The 20,325-nt window shown below is 44.7% G+C and overlaps 3 protein-coding genes across 13 annotated transcripts in view, besides 3 other annotated features; 2 read left to right on the top strand and 1 right to left on the bottom strand.

The window, feature by feature from the left end:
- The window catches only part of RAD51C (RAD51 paralog C), a 43,039-nt gene extending 34,584 nt beyond the window's left edge, over positions 1-8,455 (bottom strand). For 4 of the 9 annotated variants that reach the window (XM_006722001.5, NM_058216.3, XM_006722002.5 and 1 more), the window contains exons 1-3: positions 8,240-8,426; positions 5,839-6,097; positions 4,169-4,335 (exon numbers count right to left, since the gene is read on the bottom strand). In XM_006722001.5, the coding sequence (XP_006722064.1) occupies positions 4,169-4,335; positions 5,839-6,097; positions 8,240-8,384 (571 nt within the window). In that variant the 5' untranslated portion in view covers positions 8,385-8,426. The other 5 variants (XM_006722004.4, XM_011525094.3, NR_103872.2 and 2 more) reach the window with 5 other exon arrangements.
- Positions 795-963: a silencer, noted in NCBI's record as "fragment chr17:56777426-56777594 (GRCh37/hg19 assembly coordinates)". NCBI's record gives its function as "represses an EF-1alpha promoter that drives an FKBP-Casp9 reporter gene in an ReSE screen in HepG2 liver carcinoma cells {active_cell/tissue: HepG2}" and the evidence as "EXISTENCE:reporter gene assay evidence [ECO:0000049][PMID:32094911]".
- Positions 8,069-8,238: an enhancer, noted in NCBI's record as "active region_12491". NCBI's record gives its function as "activates an Ori minimal core promoter by ATAC-STARR-seq in GM12878 lymphoblastoid cells {active_cell/tissue: GM12878}" and the evidence as "EXISTENCE:reporter gene assay evidence [ECO:0000049][PMID:35858748]".
- Positions 8,569-8,668: an enhancer, noted in NCBI's record as "active region_12490". NCBI's record gives its function as "activates an Ori minimal core promoter by ATAC-STARR-seq in GM12878 lymphoblastoid cells {active_cell/tissue: GM12878}" and the evidence as "EXISTENCE:reporter gene assay evidence [ECO:0000049][PMID:35858748]".
- TEX14 (testis expressed 14, intercellular bridge forming factor) overlaps positions 8,983-20,325 on the top strand; it is a 135,368-nt gene continuing 124,025 nt past the window's right edge. For all 3 annotated transcript variants that reach the window (NM_031272.5, NM_198393.4, NM_001201457.2), the window contains exon 1: positions 8,983-9,089. The gene's annotated coding sequence lies outside the window, so the exon portion shown is untranslated. The remainder of the gene's footprint in view (positions 9,090-20,325) is intronic.
- Positions 8,983-20,325, top strand: part of IGBP1C (IGBP1 family member C) — a 31,622-nt gene continuing 20,279 nt past the window's right edge. The window contains exon 1 of the mRNA NM_001395966.1: positions 8,983-9,089. The gene's annotated coding sequence lies outside the window, so the exon portion shown is untranslated. The remainder of the gene's footprint in view (positions 9,090-20,325) is intronic.

Raw genomic sequence — 20,325 nt, 5'->3', positions numbered from 1 at the left:
TACTTGGGGGGCTGAAGTGAGAGGATCACCTGAGCCCAGGGAGGTCAAGGCTGCAGTGAATTGTGATCATGCCACTGCAATCCGGCCTGGATGACAAAGTGAGACCCTGTTTCACAAAAAGTAAAATATTAAAAATAAATAAAATGTACTTAAATATTAACACTGAAAAAACAAGAAGCTATATTTTAAAATAGAAAACATTTCCTATTGCAAATAGACACTTAGCAGAGTCAAATTTTCACCAAAACAATGACAATTTAATCTCATATCAATCATTTAAAAACTTTAGGCCAGGTGTGGTGGCTCACGCCTGTAATCCCAGCGCTTTGGGAGGCTGAGGTGGGCAGATCATGAGGTCAGGAGATCGAGACCATCCTGGCTAACATGGTGAAACCCCATCTCTACTAAAAATACAAAGTCAGCCAGGCGTGGTGGCGGGTGCCTGTAGTCCCAGCTACTTGGGAGGCTGAGGCAGGAGAATGGCGTGAACCCAGGAGGCAGAGCTTGCAGTGAGCCCAGATCGCGCCACTGCACTCCAGCCTGGATGATGGACTGAGACCCCATCTTAAAAAATAAATTAATTAATTAAAATAAAAATAAAAACTTTATATCCTAGTGCTACACCTACTCTAGTTACAGTAAGGTTTTAAGACACTATTACAAACACACATTGTGAAATAGGTAGCTTTAAGGTATAAGGGAAGAAAAACTCCTTTTCCTGCCACCCTCTTAGGTTTCTTGGCTGGAGCCCTGTAAATCGGACTGACAAAAGATGGATTAACAAGAGAAAGAGTTTATTAATTGTGCATAGTGCATGTAACAACACAGGGGAGTCCAGAGATTAGTAACTCAAAAGTTTGGTTAGATTTGGAGCTGGGCACAGGTGTTCACACTCATAATCCCAGCACTTAGGGAAGCCGACGTAGGAGGATCACTTGAGGTCAGAAGTTTGAGACCAGTCTGGCCAACATGATGAAACTCTGTCTCTACTAAAAATACAAAAATTAGCCAGGTATGGTGGCACGTGCCTGTATTCGCAGCTCCCAGCTACTCAGGAGGCTGAGTCAGGAGAATCGCTTGAACCTGGGAGGTGAAGGTCGCAGTAAGCCAAGATTGCGCCACTGCACTCCAGCCCGGGCGGTAGAGCCAGATTCTGTCTCAAAAAAAAAAGATTTGAGCTTATCGTCCCGAAGGTACAGTAAATTTTTAGAGAAGTAACAAGACAAAGGAAAAGGACCCTAAGTCTCTAAAGGCAGCAAATATTGAAACTAACTGGAGATAAAAGATAGCTAGTAAAATTTGTTATGTACGCTGATAATGGTCTAAAGTTGTCTGTGGTGATTAACTTTTGTCTTCCTGTAAGAGAGGGAAGATGGAACTCTTCTGTGCATTTATGTCCTGTTTTTAGGAAGGGCAGACAGATTTATCTGTTTCTTTTCAATTGCCTTCAGCTCAAAATAATCCTTATGCCAAAGTGGCATATTTCAGGGTGGCATATTCTGCTAGGGTCCAAAGGGCTTTCAGTAACCATGCTGGTCATCAGCGAAATGGGACACTTAGTACCTCCATGAAAAAAAAAAATCCAGCTGACTACACTCATTTAAAGGAAATATACTCATTTAAAGGAAATCTTATGAAAAGCATTTTTTTTAAAACTTTTATTGGAAAGAATAAAGACCGCACATCCAAAAAATAAATAAAACAAAGAAAAAGAAAACAATAGGCCGGGCGCTGTAGCTCATGCCTGTAATCCCAGCACTTTGGGAGGCCGAGGCGGGAAGATCACAAGGTCAGGAGTTCGAGACCAGCCTGGCCAGCATGGTGAAACTCCATCTCTGCTAAAAAAACAAAAAATTAGCCGGGCATTGTGGCACATGCCCGTAGTCCCAGCTACTCAGGAGGCTGAGGCAGGAGAATTGCTTGAACCCAGCAGGCAGAGGTTGCAGTGAGCTGAGATCATGCCACTGCACTCCAGCCTGGGTGACAGAGCGCAACTCCATCTTAAAATAAATAAATAAATAAGAAAACAGTCAACCCATAAGCCATTTAATTTATAAGTAATTGAAAGAATAAGAACTTGAATATAAATTTCCTTTTTTTTTTTTGAGAAGGAGTTTCACTTTTGTCGCCCAGAATGGAGTGCAGTGGCACGATCTCGGCTCACTGCAACCTCCGCCTCCTGGGTTCAAGCGATTCTCCTGCCTCATCCTCCTGAGTAGCTGGGATTACAGGTACCTGCCACCATGCTCGGCTAATTTTTTGTATTTTTAGTACAGACGGGGTTTCGCCATGGCTCCTGACTTCAGGTGATCCGCCCGCCTCGGCCTCCCAAAGTGCTGGGTTTACAGGAATGAGACACTGCACCCGGCCTATAAATTATCTTTCAAAAAACTGTTTAAGGCTGGGCGTGGTGGCTCACGCCTATAATCCCAGCACTTTGGGAGGCCGAGGTGGGCAGATCACCTGAGGTCAGGAGTTCAAGACCTGACTTGCCTATATGGTGAAACCCCCTCTCTACAAAAAATACAAAAATTAGCTGGGTGTGGCCGGGTGCGGTGGCTCATGCCTGTAATCCCAGCACTTTGGGAGGCCAAGGCAGGCAGATCATGAGGTCAGGAGATCGAGACCATCCTGGCTAACATAGTGAAACCCTGTCTCTACTAAAAATACAAAAAAAATTAGCTGGGCATGGTGGTGGGTGCCTGTAGTCCCAGCTACTTGGGAGGCTGAGGCAGGAGAATGGCATGAACCCAGGAGGCAGAGCTTGCAGTGAGCCGAGATTGTGCCATTACACTCTAGCCTGGGCGACAGAGTGAGACCCTGTCTCAAAAAAAAAAAAAAAAAAAAAATTAGCTGGGCATGGTAACACATGCCTATAATTCCAGCTACTCAGGAGGCTAAGGCAGGAGAATTGCTTGAACCTGGGAGGCAGAGGCTGCAGTGAGCCGAGATCGCGCCACTGTACTCTAGCCTGGGCCACAGAGCAAGACTCTGTCTCAAAAAAGAAAAAAAAATTGGCCGGGTGCGGTGGCTCACGCCCGTAATCCCAGCACTTTGGGAGGCTGAGGCGGGAGGATCACCTGAGGTCAGGAGTTTGAGACCAGCCTGATCAACATGGAGAAACCCTGTCTGTACTAAAAATACAAAATTAACTGGGCGTGGTGGCACATGCCTGTAATTCCAGCTACTCGGGAGGCTGAGGCAGGAGAATCCCTTGAACCCAGGAGGTGGAAGTTGCAGTGAGCCAAGATTGTGCCACTGCACTCCAGCCTGGGCAGCAAAAGCGAAACTTTGTCTCAAAAAAAAAAAAATCGTTTTACAGTCACTTTATTTTCACATAACAAGCACCAAAACAACACCTCCCAAACACTTTAACAATTAGTGCAGTTATGAAATCAGCTATATAATCAAAGCCCCCAAGTCAATCTGCTTAACAATCCAAACATTTCAGACGTGGTTTTTTTTTTTGGTTTTTTTTTTTTTTTTTAAGAGACAGAGTAGTCTCACTCTGTTGCCTAGGCTGGAGTGCAGTGGCGTAATCTGGGCTCACTGCAATCTCCAACTCCTGAGTTCAAGTGATTCTCCTGCCTCAGCCTCCTTAGTAGCTGAGATTACAGGCATGTGCCATCACACCTGGCTAATTTTGGTATTTTTAGTACAGATAGGGTTTCATCATGTTGGCCAGGCTGGTCTTGAACTCCTGACCTCGTGATCCACCCGCCTTGGCCTCCCAAAGGGCTGGGATTACAGGCATGAGCACTGCATCCGGCCTCAGACGTGGTTTTCAAAGCTACCTTTGGTTTTTGGAAAACCAATATGGAAGTCCTTATACATTGGAAAGCATTTAACAACAGTTGCTTATATTAAGGTGTCCGGCACCGTTAACTTACACCTGATAAGATGGAGTATGATGACTGAAATACATACATAGGTTTTGTCCCAAAGCTCCTACAGGAAGAAGTGAGGGCCATAAAAGGGGAACAAAAAAAAGCCAGTCCAGGCTGTGGCATTTCTCATTTTGTAACAGTAGTAAAAGAGTTTAACACTAGTTAACTGTCCAGTAATTAGGCTTCACATTCCAAATGGAGTGTTGCTGAGGTCTCAGATGGGCACAAATGCAAATTACTTTTATTAATACAGAAAAAAAGAAGATCATTTACTAACTTACCCTCTCCCTTGTGTTTTTCTGCTATAAGCTGAAGGTGCTGAATGCAGGCAGTAGCAAGGTCTACCACTCTATCAACCATAAAACTTCCCTCTGTATCAATAAAAACTGCTTCACCTGCCACTCCTCCAAAACATTCTGGTATCTGCACATCTACTGCCAACTGCATACTGTCAACAGAAAGATGACAAACAACCAAATCATGATGATGATCTAAGGTAGTGTTTTTGAACTCCAGATAATGACAAGTTAGGTATCACTAAAGTTTTATAAATGTAAATATACTCCCCAAGGCAACAGAAATGTCTAACTCTTCATGACTCCAGATATAATGTGAACCAATCGACTATATGTAAATCAACTGGATTCGGGGAGGGCATGCCTATAAAACCAAGATTAAGGATATTTTATTTTATTTTATTTATGTTTTGAGACGGAGTCTCGCTCTGTCGCCCAGGCTGGAGTGCAGTGACGTGATCCAGGCTCACTGCAAGCTCCGCCTCCCAGGTTTACGCCATTCTCCTGCCTCAGCTGCCCGAGTAGCTAGGACTACAAGCACCCGCCACCACGCCCGGCTAATTCTTTGTATTTTTTAGTAGAAACGGGGTTTCACCGTGTTAGCCAGGATGGTCTCGATCTCCTGACCTCATGATCTGCCTGCCTTGGCCTCCCAAAGTGCTGGGATTACAAGCGTCAGCCACTGCGCCCAGCCAATTAAGAATATTTTAATCATTTCCAGGCCTCTCAAAATGGAGCCCCTTATTATACATAAATCTACCTTTTTTTTTTTTCTTTTGAGACAGAGTCTTGCTCTGTCACCCAAGCTGGAGTGCAGTGGCATGATCTCGGCTCACTGCAACCTCCACCTCCCAAGTACAAGCGATTCTCCTGCCTCAGCCTCCCGAGGAGCTGAGACTATAGGCGTGAACCACCATGCCTGGCTAATTTTTTTATTTTTAGTAGAGATGGGGTTTCGCCATGTTGACTAGGCTGGTCTTGAACTCCTGATCTCAGGTGATCCACCCGCCTCAGCCTCCCAAAGTGCTGGGATTACAGGTGTGAGCCACCATCCCCGGCCTCTTTTTTTTTTGAGATAGGGTCTCACTCTGCTGCCCAGTGATGTGATTAAGGCTCACTGCAGTTTTGACCTCCCCGGCTCAAGCTATCCTCCTGCCTCAGCCTCCCAAGTAGCTAGGACCACAGGCATGTGCCACCACACTCAGCTAATTTTCCATTTTTAGTAGAGACGAGGTCTCACTATGTTGCCCAGGCAGGCCTCAAACTCCTGGGCTCAAGCAATCCTCCTGCCTCGGCCTCCCAAAGTGCTGGGATTATAGGCATGAGCCACTACCCCTAGCCATAAATCTACTTTCAAACATCTGACTTTCAAATATAGTCTCAGGAATGAATAACGCAGAAACTTCCTGTTTAACCTTATGACTGCAGTACAATTTGCAAAAGAAACACTTTTTCACATCAGAATAATTGCATACATTTATCAAGAAGGGATAATGAAGTAACACAAATAGTAAGCTAATTTTTGTTTAATGCACATACACACTTAAAATTAAGAGCACATATATATCTTATTTGGTTTCCTGACGATAGTACAAAATACTACTTTCATAATATGTTATTAAACCCACCCTTAAAAGGAGAACACTTTATTTTACCATAATTGTGTTTTTCCAACACCTGGTGCACCACAAATTTCTGTTGTTTTCATTAAGGGCACTCCACCCCCAAGAATATCATCTAGTGCTGAACAGAAGGTGATTATGAAGCCCTGGGTATGCTCCTGCTCAAGAAGTTCCAGTGCTGTACACTTCTTGTGTGACTCAGATGTACCAGCATATCTTGGTTTATTTGTGAGACATTCTCTTCTGATAATTTGCAGAGTTTCTAAGGCTTCTGCTTTAGATATCCCAACTTCTGAAAGTAAAATAAGAAAAAAAGAACCCTAATTTTAGAGATTTAAAAGTGTAACATGATAATCGATTGTCTTTATTAATTTGTAGACAACAGTGATGCTAGGAGTGGAGAAACATAAAAATGCAACATTCTATCAACCATTTAATTTTTCAGTTTGGCCGGACACAGTGGCTCATGCCTAAAATCCCAGTACTTTGGGAGGCTGAGGCAGCCAGATCACCTGAGGTCAGGAGTTGAAGACCAGCCTGGCCAACATGGTGAAACTCCGTCTCTACTAAAAATACAAAAATTAGCCGGGCATGGTGGCACGCGTTATAATTCCAGCTACTTGGGAGGCTGAGGCAGGACAATCACTTGAACCTGCACCACTGCACTCCAGCCTGGATCGCACCACTGCATTCCAGCCTGGATGACAGTGCGAGACTCCGTCTCAAAAAAAAAAAAAAAAAAATTCAGCTTAATAAAGGTATTCGTTTTCTTAGTCATCACATAAAGAATTACCTATTACCTCAGAAACAATTCAACTAAAGCATTTCTGAGTACCTACAAGTGTCTCAGGAAGCAGAAATAAAAATGTACTCACTATTACCATATTTTTACTATCCCTTTTGGTCTTATGAAGCCATAATTATCTCGCTCTCATAAGGTATACAAATTATTTTTCAGATGAGAATGAAAATAGATGTTTTAACTGCCTAAAACAAGGTACAACTTTAAGAAGCACATATGCATGTATTATTTATAATAAAAACTTTTCATGGAAATAACTGATGTAAAAAATTCATGTATCACTCCAAACTAATGAGAACAATTATTCAAGGCACAAGCATTTTAAAGAATACATTTATGCTTCCTCGACTACACAATTTCACCCATCTGACAGTGTGGCCTGAGAAAAGAAAATGGCAATTACAAAACAAGCTGGTGAAGAAATAATGGTGAGGATGACATCACTTATCAGTTTGATATATCAGTGCTTGATCTGATAAGAATATGAGCCATAAATATGGGGCTAATAAAAGACAATGGTGATGACAGCATTTAGGAAATGAAAATCCTATCAAGAGCCTGAATGCTGGAATTAGATTGCCTGGGTTTGTAAATCCTGGCACCACTTACTGCATGACTTTGGGCAAGTTACTTCACTTTTTCTTTTTTGCTCAGATTTTTTTCGTCTATAAAATGGGAATGAGACGATACATGTAAAAAGCTTGGTAGAATATCAAGACCATCTAAAGTAGTCAATAGTTGTTAGTGATCATTATTATTCAGGGTCTCACATTTCTTCTTTGAAAAGCCAACTTGTTGAAGAAAAAAGAGCCCATCAAATCTTGGGGGACACAGTCTGCGCGCGGTATGACTTAAACAGTTAAGGCTGGGTCCACGAGACTTATTCTTTAGAGGCGAATTGAAACCTCTGTATTTTCCATCAGTAAGGGCAGTAACTTAAAATTCTGTTCCATCTTCTTCAGTGAATAGCACAGGTCCAGACATGTCATAGAGAGATGTGCACAACAAGTGACCACCGCCAGCCTCATATTTGTATGTCTCAGGATGCAGTGGTTCCCATCTGCAATGCTCTGGAATATGAGGTTTTGGGTGTTTCAGTTAATTACGTAAGAGAATATTCTTTCTATGCTTCCTCAAGATTCCGGGGATTCTACTCTCTTTCTCATTCTTAGTGTCTCTAGTCCTACACAAAATCCTGCATTTCTGAAATTTAACCCTTACCCCTTGGATCTTGGAACAGCAAAAATTAGACAACCAATTCTGACTCCAGTATTTCCTAACCCAGTTAGCATGAAAAGTTACCTAAGCTCCCCAAGATATCAGTTCTCTCATCCATATACTGAATATAATAATCTACGTAAGCGGGTTGAGGGTTAAATGAGACAATCCTCAAAGCATTCAGCAGGCATTGCCAGAGGAAAAGCAATTAGTAAATGTTTTCACGACCACAGTTCTCCTAACCATTCAGACAACTTGTAAGTGGAGTCGAGGAGCTCTTTCACGCTGTAAACATGGACGTGGGAGGAAGCAGAATCTAACGGAGACTGGGCTGAAGGCCGAGGCGAGAGAACGAAGACTGAGGCGGCGCTGACGGCGGCCGGTGTGCCTCAGCTTGCCATCAGGAGTCGTTACCTTTGCTAAGCTCGGAGGGTTTCACCTCTAGGAGTTCCTCAGCAGTCTGGAACCCCGCAGACACCAGCTTCACCCGCACCGCTGGAGACAGCGGGAAACTCACCAAATCCCGCTGCATTTCAAAGCGGAACGTCTTCCCGCGCATCGCAGGCTCACCTGCTAACCCCGGAGCAGCCAAACTCCGCACGCCCTCGCTGGGGCGTGCGGCGTGACGTCAGACGTAAAGCGGAAGGGGCCGGCTCTGCGGCCTGGCCGCACGGGGCTCCGGGCCTTGCAGCTTTGCGCAGTCTTGTAAATTTTCACACTTATGCACCATTCCGTTTTGATTCCCCAAAATCCCATTTAGAGATTCCTCATCAAATGTACACCCTGACTGTAAAACGATGGACGGAGACCATAGGACGGAGAGCCAGGCCCAGTGGGTTCTCCACGCCACATTTCCTTGCCTCCACCGTGGCCTGTTAGGTGAAGCCTCAGAGTCATTAATAGGAATGATCTCGAGTGGGAGTAGTGAGCGTAACGGGCACACACTAGCCAGTTACCATTATTTTGGTGTGAAAAGCTCAGGGAACAATCATTAGAATTAATCTGCGTGCTCTTTGTAGAGTTGCAGTCTCTTGGCTCTTCCCGCTGACCGTCCCCCTTTTCTGACCCCCCCCCCCCGCAACGACCACATTGCTTTTCCCGCCCTCGCGAGGGATTGTGGGCCAGCCCCCAACGGCCGCTGGGAGGGATCAGTCCGCATTCCCCGCACCCACCCACGTCTTCCCGGGAGTCGTATCCCGAGCATGGAGGTTACTGAGACCGTTATTTCTTCATGGCCTGCCTAGCTTAAGCAGTAGCTGGAAAAGTAAGCAACTAATGTCCCCATTAGTGTGTCTGGGCTCCTGGGGTCCTGAGAAGGAGGGGCTGGGCTACACAAGAGCTCCTTTTGTGGTACAGACTTGGGAAGGGGTGTTCAAGCAGTGGTAGTGACCGCCTCTAAATTACAGAACTTCGGGGAGGAAGGCAAGCAGTTTAGAAGGTGGTTTATGAGTTCCTTCCTTGCCTAGGTGAGTGTAACTTATTTAGCAGGGGGTAACTTATTCCCTACCTATTGGCGATTTTTTTTTTTTTTTTTTTGAGACAGAGTCTCACTGTGTTGCCCATGATGGAGTGCAGTGGCACGATGTCGGCTCACTGCAACCTTCGCCTCCCGGGTTCAAGTGAGTCTCCTGCCTCAGCCTCTTGAGTACCTGGGATTACAGGCGCACGCCACCATGCCCGGCTAATTTTTGTATTATTATTAGAGAAGGGGTTTCACCATATTGGCCAGGCTGGTCTCGAACTCCTGACCTCGTGATCCGCCTGCCTCGGCCTCCCAAAATGCTGGGAGTACAGGCGTGAGCCACCGCGCCCGGCCCTGTTGGCAATGATTCTTAGTCTTGACTTTTCTTCCCAGCTTAGAAGAACTTTCTAAATATTGCAAATCAGAGCCCTCTACATACTTAGATCTAAAAAAGGAAACAACGTATGTTGAGCACTTTAGCAAATCCCACACATTTCAAATGGCCATAGCCATGCCAAAAGGAAGATAAGGACATGGAAGCTCAGCATATAGTTTAATATCAATTCTGATAAAAGAAAAAAAGCTGGCCGGGCGCAGTGGCTCGTGCCTGTAATCCCAGCACTTTGGGAGGTCGAGGCAGGTGGATCTCTTTGAGCTCATGAGTTTGAGACCAGCCTCGACAACATGGCGAAACACTGTCTGTACCAAAAGTACAAAAAATTAGCCGGGCATGGTGGCATGCACCGGTCGTCCCAGCTACTCAGAAGTCTGTGGTGGGAGGATCCCTTCAGCCTGGGAGTGAGCTATGATCACGCCACTGCACTCCAGCTTGGGTGATAGAGTGAAACCCTGTCTCAAACAAACAAAACACCTCAGCACAGTTTTCTTAAAGCCAAGATTCAAACCTAGCATCCTTTTTACTACCCCGAGCTATTAAGATTTTGAGTCCCTACTGGCGGGGAGAATACGAGAAGCATTTATACCCCATTTGGTAGGTCAAAGAAAGTCTTGTAGGACTGGCCAAAATGTGGTTGGCCACTCAACCCATTGCTTAACTTCTAATATGGTCTATATTTGAGCGCTCAGTGGATGCATAAATACTATCTTCAGGGAGATTTCATGCTTATGCTTATAAAGCACCCAGATTCTTGGGTGAAGAAAAAACATGGTATTACCACATTCAACAATAAGTCTTCAGTTAGTTTGGTCAAACTCAGTGGAATCAGTCGTGTTTAGAATTTCTTTCGTTGACAGTGGAAAGTTCAAAACTACTTTGGCCTGGCACAGTGGCTTAAGCCTGGAATCCAAGCACTTTGGGAGGCCAAAGAGGGCACATCGCTTGATCTCAGGAGTTTGAGACCAGCCTGGGCAACAGGGCAAAACCCCATCTCTACAAAAAATACAAAAATTAGCCAGCATGGTGGTACATGCCTCTAGTCCCAGCTACTTGGGAGGCTGAGGTGGGAGAACCAATTGAGCCCGGGAGGTTGAGGTTGCAGTGAGCTGAGATTGCGTAACTCCACTCCAATCTGGGCGACAGAGCGAGACTCCATCTCAAAAACAAAACAAAGCAAAATAAAAAAAACAAAAAAACCCCCACTCAACTCTATCTATAGCTGTATAATTTAAGTGCTATTAATATCTTCTGCAGATCACAAGGTCAGGAGATCGAGACCATCCTGGCTAACATGATGAAACCCCGTCTCTACTAAAAATACAAAAAATTAGCTGGGTGCGGTGGTGGGCGCCTGTAGTCCCAGCTACTCGGGAGGCTGAGGCAGGAGAATTGCATGAACCCAGGAGGCGGAGCTTGCAGTGAGCCTAGATCACGCCACCACATTCCAGCCTGGGCGACAGAGCGAGACTCCATCTCAGAAAAAAAAAAAAAAAAAATCTTCTGGCCCTTGCCTATAATAATTATTTTCATCATCATTCTTAAGATGTCTTTAATGCAATTTGCTCTGTAGTCATGCTTTCAAACTGGGATCCAGGTTTTTGAAACCACGCACTAGGAACTAAACAAAGCTATGGGATAAATATGGAAGGTGCACCTTCTTGTGTAATCACTTTTCTCAAAAAAAATCTTTCAGGGAGGGAAGAGTTAAATGATTTACCTAAGTCATTTGAAATGGTTTATATTAAGCAGACATTACATCTGTGTAGTGTGGATAAATCATTAAAATTTTTGAAAAAGAAAATAAACTTTAATAAAACATGGGGTAGGCCGGGCACGGTGGCTCACTCCTGTAATCCTAGCACTTTGGGAGGCCAAGGCGGGTGGATCATGAGGTCAAGAGATCAAGACCATCCTGGCCAACATGACGAAACCCTGTCTCTACTAAAAACACAAAAATTAGCTGGGCATGTTGATGTGTGCCTATAGTCCCAGCTACTTAGGAGGCTGAGGCAGGAGAATAGCTTGAACCCAGGAGGCAGAGGTTGCAGTGAGTGAGATCAGGCCACTGCACTCTAGCCTGGAAACAGAGAGAGACTCCCTCTAAAAATAAATAAATTAGCTGAGCGTGATGTCTCACGCCTGTTTCACAGCACTTTGGGAGGCCGAGGTGGGCGGATCACGAGATCAGGAGATAGACTATCCTGGCTAACACGGTGAAACCCCATCTCTACTAAAAATACAAAAAATTAGCCGGGTGTGGTGGCAGGCACCTGTAGTCCCAGCTACTTGGGAGGCTGAGGCAGGAGAATGGTGTGAACCCGGGAGGCAGAGCTTGCAGTGAGCCAAGATCATGCCACTGCACTCCAGCCTCTGTGACAGAGCGAGACTCCATCTCAAAAAAAAATATATGTATAGAAATAAAAACAAAATGTGGGGGTAAAATGCAAATATAAAAATAAAATTTAAGAGAAAAGTATGAGGTCAGAGACACATCAGGCTTAAACTGGATACTTCAGTAATCTCCCAAACCCCCCCCGGGAATATGTTTTGGTTTTTCTTGCAACTTGAGGTTACTTCATGAAAAAATTTGAGAGACATTGCTATGGGCAAACCAGCATGGGCTGCGGAGTCACACAGATTTGGATTTGTATCACATGTCTGGAAGTTACCAACTATGTGACCTTCAGCAAGTTACTCAGTCTCCTCACCTGCAAGTAGAAGATAATATCTCCTGGGGTTTTGGTCAAGATTAAATTAACACATATACAGTACTTATCACACAAAAAAGTACATAATAAATCTGAGTCTGTTTCTCAGTTTTTACAGCATTCTAATGCGCATATTCAGTTGGAATAAATCCTTATAGAATACCTAGCTCAGCAGAATGCTAATGCTGAGACGTTTTTTAAAAATGTTTACAATTAGGCCAGACACTGTGGCTCACACCTGTAATCCCATCACTTTAGGAGGCTGAGGCTGGCAGATCACTTGAGGTCAGGAGTTCAAGACCAGCCTGGGCGATGTGGTAAAACCCCGTCTCTACTAAAAATACAAAATTAACTGGGGGTGGTGGAGGGTACCTATAGTCCCAGCTATTTGGAAGGCTGAGGCAGGAGAATTGCTGGAACATGGGAGGCAGAGATTGCAGTGAGCCGATATTATGACACTGTACTCCAGCCTGGGCGACAAGAGGAAAACTCAGTCTCAAAAACAAAACAAAACAAAAAAAGTCTATAATTGTAAAAGTGCCGAAGTAGAGTACTTTTATATATTTTATTTTCTTTGACTTGATCCACAGTAATCCTATGACTGGGGTCTACATTCAGGATTAGCACTCTGAAGACTAGATCACTAAAACAAGATTAAATATTGATTAAATGCTAGTTATGTGCCAGATGACAGGGTAAACAAGATAGATTCTCTGCCCTCATGGAGCTTATAATCTATCAGGATCTTTATTGAGTATTTCTGACATGTTGCATTTCTGACTTGTGTAGCTATCTTGATGTAATTCTAAGGGTAGGAAGGACCTATTGCTGTTAATGTCTATAGTTAACCTGTCAGAGTATTCCAATAACGAGACATTTTCAGGTTGACTAGGCTGTTTCTGGAGACATAGGAGAGGAATAATATGAAATTTTTGTTATAGCTGGGGAGAAGTTTATTTTTTTTTTAGCCTAAGAACATAGAACTTTAAAAAATGGTGACCACGGCCGGGTGCAGTGGCTCACACCTGTAATCCCAGCATTTTGGGAGGCTTAGGTGGGTGGATCACTTGAGATGAGTTCAAGACCAGCCTGGCCAACATGGTGAAACCCTGTCTCTATTAAAAATACAAAACTTAGGCAGGTGTGGGTAGAGCACCCGATTCTGTTGCTGATCAGGGCACCACTCTGTAACCCGCACGGACCTATGGGCTGAACAAAGGAGGGCAAATGCGGGAATAAAAGACGAGACAAAAGAGTATATTTGGAAGAAGGGGTCAGGGGGTACCTTGCCTCTAGTGGACAAGGGCCCTGAGCTTTACACAGCCTTCTGTATTTATTAGGTAAAAGAGATAGTGAGAAGGGAGGTGGGAGAAGGGGTCAGCTGCTGAGTCCAGAGTAGGCTTGCAAGACCGCATTCTCTAGATGTCGCAGTGGATAACCTCAGTGCCAGGGAGTGATTGCCTCCAGCAAATCTTCTGTCAGCAGGAGCAGTCGTGAGTTTGCTCACATCCTGCATTCATGATTAACAGTTTGGTGTTTGATCATAGAGCCTCCAGTGGAATGCTGAGTTGGTCACATCCCATGGGCCTTCAGCTCCCTACAGGTGTGGTGGTGGGCATCTGTAATCCCAGCTACTCGGGAGACTGAGGCAGGAGAATCTCCTGAACCCCAAAGATGGAGGTTGCTGTGAGCTGAGATCCCTCCCCTGCGCTCTAGGGTGGGTGATTGAGCGAGACTGCATCTCAAAAAAAAAAAAAAAAAAAAAAAAAAAAAAGGTGACCTTTCATGTTCAAGTGGGTTTGGGAATAGGAGAAAGAAGTCAATGTTGTTCAGACTGAGGAGAAAAACCTCTGAATAAAGGCATAGCTTTAGAGGTGGTTATGATAAAGCTTCTTTAAGGCCTCAGACATATATACTAGCAGTATCAATTTTACAGGACCTTATACATAATAGAAGCCCAATATGTATTTGTTGTCCACGACTCTTTGAAACATTCTCTTACTTGGCTTTTTTAATGCCACACTTCTGATTTCCTTTCTACATATTTGGCTTTTCTGTTTGCTTTGCAAGCACATCCTCCATAACCTGGGCATGGCAGTGACTCTCAAATTTGTATTTCTAGCCCTGACCCTCTGCCGTCCAGATGCAAATATCTAATTGCCTACTGGACAATTCAAAGTCTCCTCCAACTCAGCCTAACTCATTACCTTCACCCCATTCCCAGAACCTTGCCCTCTTCCTGCATTTCCTGCCTCCATGAACCACATATCCATCCTTCCATTTGCATAAGCCATAAACCTAGAATCATCCTTGACACCTCCTTCCCTTTCACTCTGCATAATCATATCTCACTGCAACCTTGAACTCCTGGGCTCAAGAAAGAGATCCTTCTGCCTTTGCCTCCTAAGAAGCTGAGACTAACAGGCACATGCCACCGTGCCTAGCTAATTTTTAAAAATTTTTGTAAAGACAAGGTGTTGCCCAGACTGGTTTTGAACTCCTGGTCACAAGGACTCCTCGGCCTCCCAAAGTTCTGGGATTACAGGTGCGAGCCACCATGATCCTCCTGGCATGATCTTTTTACAGTACATTTCAGTTATGTCACTCCTTATTTTGATCTTTTTTTTTTTTTTTTTTTTGTGAGACAGAGTCTTGCCCTGTCGCCCAGGCTGGAGTGCGGTGGTGTGATCTCGGCTCACTGCAACCTCCACCTCCCATGTTCAGGCGATTGTCCTGCCTCAACCTCCTGAGTAGCTGGGATTACAGGTGCACACCACCACACCCAGCTAATTTTTGTATTTTTTTTAGTAGAGATGGTGTTTCACCATGTTGGCCAGGCTGATCTTGAACTCCTGACCTCAGGTGATCCACCCACCTCAGCCTCCCAAACTGCTGGGATTACAGGCATGAGGCACCGCACCTCGCCTTATTTTGCTCTTAGGATAAAGACCAAATTTCTTAATAAGGCTTAAAAAAAGCTTGCATGTTTTGGCCCCTGTTTTTCCTCTTTACCTTCTTCCTTTTCCTCTTTCCCATTTGCTTCCTATACTCCTGCTACTTTGGCCTTTTCTTAGTTCCTTGTGTGTGCTAGACCTCATCCCTCAACAGTGTTTGCATATGTCTATAATATTACCTCTCCCTCCTTCACCTAATTAACTACTATTTATCTGTCAAATCTGACATTCTTTTTTTTTTTTTTTGACACCGAGTCTTACTCTGCTGCCCAGGCTGGAGTGCGGTGGTGTGATCTCGGCTCACTGCAACCTCCACCTCCCACGTTCAAGCGATTGTCCTGCCTCAGCCTCCTGAGTAGCTGGGATTACAGGTGTGCACCACCACACTCAGCTAATTTTTGTATTTTTTTAGTAGAGACGGTGTTTCACCATGTTGGCCAGGCTGATCTTGAACTCCTGACCTCAGGTGATCCACCCACCTCGGCCTCCCAACGTGCTTCAAAACAGGTCCTTCAAAACTAGGCCAAATCTAATGTATTCAATTTTTGTATTCTGACTTTGGTAACATGTTTAGAAGGTCTATACAAAATTATAAATGGATTTTTCATTCGTATTATTTCTACATATGGTTTAGATCTACATTTGAATCTTTTTTAATTTTTAATTTTATTTTCTAACCATCCATTCCTTCAACATTTGACTATTTATATGATTTTTTGGGGGACTGAGTTTTGCTCTGTCACCTAGGCATGATTTCTGCTTGCTGCAACCTCTGTCTTGAGGGTTCAAGCAATTCTTATGCCACAGCCTCTTGAGTAGCTGAGATTACAGGTGTGAGACACCACGCCCAGCTAATTTTTGTATTTTTTAGTGGAGACAGGGTTTTGCCATATTGGCCAGGCTGATCTCGAACTCCTGACCTCAGGTGATCTGCCCACCTCTGCCTCCCTATTAATCTATATGAGTTTTTAAAAAATAAGTGGTAGGAGGAAGAAAGCTTTTTATTTATTTATTTATTTATTTATTTATTTATTTATTTATTTATTTATTTGAGACAGGGTCTCACTGTCGCCCAGGCTGGAGTGCAGTGGCACGATCTTCTCACTGCCACCACTGCCTCCCTGGTTCAAGTGATTCTCCTGCCTCAGCCTCCAGAGTAGCTGGGAACAGGCACGTGTCACCATGCCCGGCTAATATGGAAGCAATTTTTTTTTTTTTTGGGACGGAGTTTCGCTCTTGTTGCCCAGGCTGGAGTGCAATGGTGTGATCTCAGCTCACTCCAACCTCCGCCTCCCGTGTTCAAGCGATTCTCCTGTATCAGCCTCCCAGATAGCTGGGATTACAGGCACCCACCACCATGCCTCACTAATTTTTGTATTTTTAGTAGAGATGGGGTTTCATCATATTGGTCAGGCTGGTCTCATGCTCCTGACCTCAGGTGATCCACCCGCCAAGGCCTCCCAAAGTGCTGGGATTATAGGCTCACGTGAGTCACCATGCCGGGCGGAAGCATTTTTTTTTCTTTCCAGTTGTGACCTAATTTTCTGAGCAGTCTTTGAAATAATCAGTTCCTTCCCCTTCTATATGAAATGTTACCTTTATCGTATACTTTTATATATGTAGGTCCTATCGCTCTGTAGCCAGGCTGGAGTGCAGTGGCACCATCTCGGCTCACTGCAACCTCCGTCTCTCGGGTTCAAGCAGTTCTTCTGCCTCAGCCTCCCGAGTAGCTGGGATGACAGGGATGCACCACCACGCCCAGCTAATTTTTGTATTTTTAGTAGAGATGGGGTTTCATCATGTTGGCCAGGATAGTCTTGATATCTTGACCTTGTGATCCGCCCGCCTCAGCCTCCCAAAGTGCTGGGATTACAGGCGGGAACCACTCCACCTGACCAAGTCTCTCTTTTTTTTTTTTTGAGCTGGAGTCTTGCTCTGTCGCCCAGGCTGGAGTGCAGTGGCGCAGTCTCAGCTCACTGCAGACCCCGCCTTCCGGGTTCAAGCAATTCTCCTGCCTCAGCCTCCCGAGTAGCTGGGATTACGGGCGTGAGCCACTATGCCTGGCTAATTTTTGTATTTTTAGTAGAGACAGGTTTTCACCATGTTGACCAGGCTGGTCTTGAACTCCTGACCTCAGGTTATCCGCCTGCCTCAGCCTCCCAAAGTGCTGGGATTACAGGCGTAAACCACCGCACCTGGCCAATTCTGTCTCTTTTTAAATAATCTACTAGATTCAGTTTATAAAGATTTTATATGTTTACTTATGTTAGTATTTAACAAACATATATTTCCTTTTTTTTTTGGGGGGGGGGATGGAGTCTTGCTTTGTCACTCAGGCTGGAGTGCAGTGGTGTGATCTCAGCTCACTGCAACCTCCGCCTCCCAGGTTCGAGCAATTCTCCTGCCTCAGCCTCCGGAGTAGCTGGGATTACAGACACGTGCCACCATGCCCAGCTAATTTTTGTATCTTTAGTAGAGATGGGGTTTTGCTATGTTGCCCAGGCTGGTCTTGAACTCTTGACCTCAAGTGATTCACCCGCCTCAGCCTCCCAAACTGCTGGGATTACAGGCGTGAGCCACCGTGCTCAGCCTTTCCTCATTTTTGTCTTTTTTTTTTTTTTTTTTTTTTGAGACAGACTCTCGCACTGTCGCCCAGGCTGGAGTGCAATGGCGCGATCTCGACACATTGCAACCTTGGCCTCTCAAAGTGCTGGGATTGTAGGTGTTAGCCACCGCATCCAGCTCCTCATTTTTTTCTAATCAAAGAAATGAGGCTCTTCTCAAAGGATATTAAGGTATGCAGGACCTCTGTGAGGATTATAACAGTAACATTTTTCTTAACTTGCTTAGAGTTACAAGGCAGTGGAGGACAGACATCTTTTTGCCTAAGGCTGACTCCCTTGAACAGATATTTTGATAACTAGGCCAATAGCAATGAAATTTTTGTGAAACATTGAAACTGGGACTTGTGAGGATTCATGAGCCACTTAAGACTCTGTAGGCTGGGCAGCCGGGCATGGTGGCTCACGCCTATAATCCCAGCACTTTGGGAAGCTGAGGTGGGCCTGTAAATTATCAACATTTTGTTTTGTGAAATAAAACACACTTTGAAATCTGGTTGGAGGAGTGGTCGTGGTGGCTCACACCTGTAATCCCAGTACTTTGGGAGGTTGAGGCAGGTGGATCATTTGGGGTCAGGAGTTCGAGACCAGCCTCGCCAACATGGCAAAAACCCATCTCTACTAAAAATACAAAAACTAGCCGGGCATGGTGGCATGTGCTTGTAATTCCAGCTACTCAGGAGGCTGAGGCAGGAGAACCGCTTGAACCTGGGAGGCAGATGTGGCAGTGAGCTGAGATGGCACCACTGCACTCTAGCCTGGACGACAGAGTAAGACTCTGTCACAAAAAAAAAAAAAGAAAGACTCTGTGGCCTGGGCATGGTGGTTCCATGCCTCTAATCCCAACTGTCTGGGAGGCGGAGACGGGTCAATTGCTTGAGCCCAGGAGTTTGAGCCCAGCCTGGGCAACATGGTGAAACTCCCTCTCTACAAAAAATACAAAAGTTAGCCAGACATGGTAGTGTGTGCCTGTAGTCCCAGCTACTCAGGAGGCTCACTTGACCCCTGGGGGTCAAGGCTGCAGTGAGCTGTGATGGTGCCACTGCACTCTAGCCTGAAGAAGGCACTGCTAGTCACAAATCTTCTGAAACTGGCATTTTGGTTGTAAGAATTGTTTGGTGGTAATGGCAGTATAGTTCACATACATTACCTTTTCCCTTACATGAGTTGTTCCACCAGATTTCTTTTTTCTTTTCTTTTTTTTTGTTTTTTTGTTTGAGACAAGAGTTTCCTGCTGTCACCCAGGCTGGAGTGCAATGGCATGATCTTAGCTCACTGCAACCTCTGCCTTTCAGGTTCAAGCGATTCTCCTTCATCAGCCTCCTGGGTAGCTGGGATTACAGATGCACACCACCAGATATTTTTGTATTTTTAGTAGAGACAAGGTTTCACCATGTTTGCCAGGCTGGTCTCGAACTCCTGGCCTCAAATGATCCACCTGCCTCGGCCTCCCACAGTACTGGGATTACAGGTGTGAGCCACTGCGACCAGCCCTCCAACCAGATTTCAAAGTGTGTTTTATTTCACAAAACAAAATGTTGACAATTTATAGAGCATACATATACATATGTGTGTATGTATATATATATTACATAATACTTCTTTGAAAAGGAAAGTATATAAAAATAAAACTGATAGACTGTCAGAACATCAGACTTGAGAACAAGTGTCTGGTTGCATCACAGAATCCCCTACCTCCTTGTCCCAATATTCTTTTTCTCCCCATCTAAGACACCTCTATGTTCTCAGTTGTTGCTTGTTTAGCAAGATTTTTATTTTCATTTTTATTTATTTATCATTAGAGATGGAGTTTCGATCTTGTTGCTCAGGCTGGAGTGCAATGGCACAGTCTCGGCTCACTGCAGCCTGGGTTCAGGCGATTCTCCTGTCTCAGCCTCCCGAGTACCCAGGTGCCCACCAGCATGCCCGGCTAATTTATTTTTAGTAGAGAGGGTTTCGCCATGTTGGCCAGGCTGGTCTTGAACTCCTGACCTCAGGTGATCCACCCACCTCAGCCTCCCAAAGTGCTGGGATTACAGGTGTGAGCCACTGCACCTGGCCCAAGATTTTTAAAACAGCATTATTTCTTCCTTTTGTAAAGATGGAAAACCGTGAGCTTGAAGTCAGTGACAAGGAAAAAAAAGTTATAAACTCTGGCTAATTTATTTTGGCAGAAGAGAAGATACCAGAAGAGTCCTTCTGTAAAATAAAAGATGTGGGATATTAGGGTGGTTCTAGTGTGATCTTGGAAAGACAATTGAAGAACACTGTTAACTCTGAAACTCCAATTCTAATTTGTTTTTTTGGTTTTTGTGGGGTTTTTTTGAGACAGAGTCTTGCTCTGTCGCCCAGGCTAGA

Source organism: Homo sapiens, chromosome 17 (genome assembly GCF_000001405.40).
Source record: "Homo sapiens chromosome 17, GRCh38.p14 Primary Assembly".
In the NCBI taxonomy this organism is placed as follows: Eukaryota; Metazoa; Chordata; class Mammalia; order Primates; family Hominidae; genus Homo; species Homo sapiens.
The sequence above is the reverse complement of the archived record's forward strand: the minus strand, read 5'-3'. Positions and strand labels throughout refer to the sequence as shown.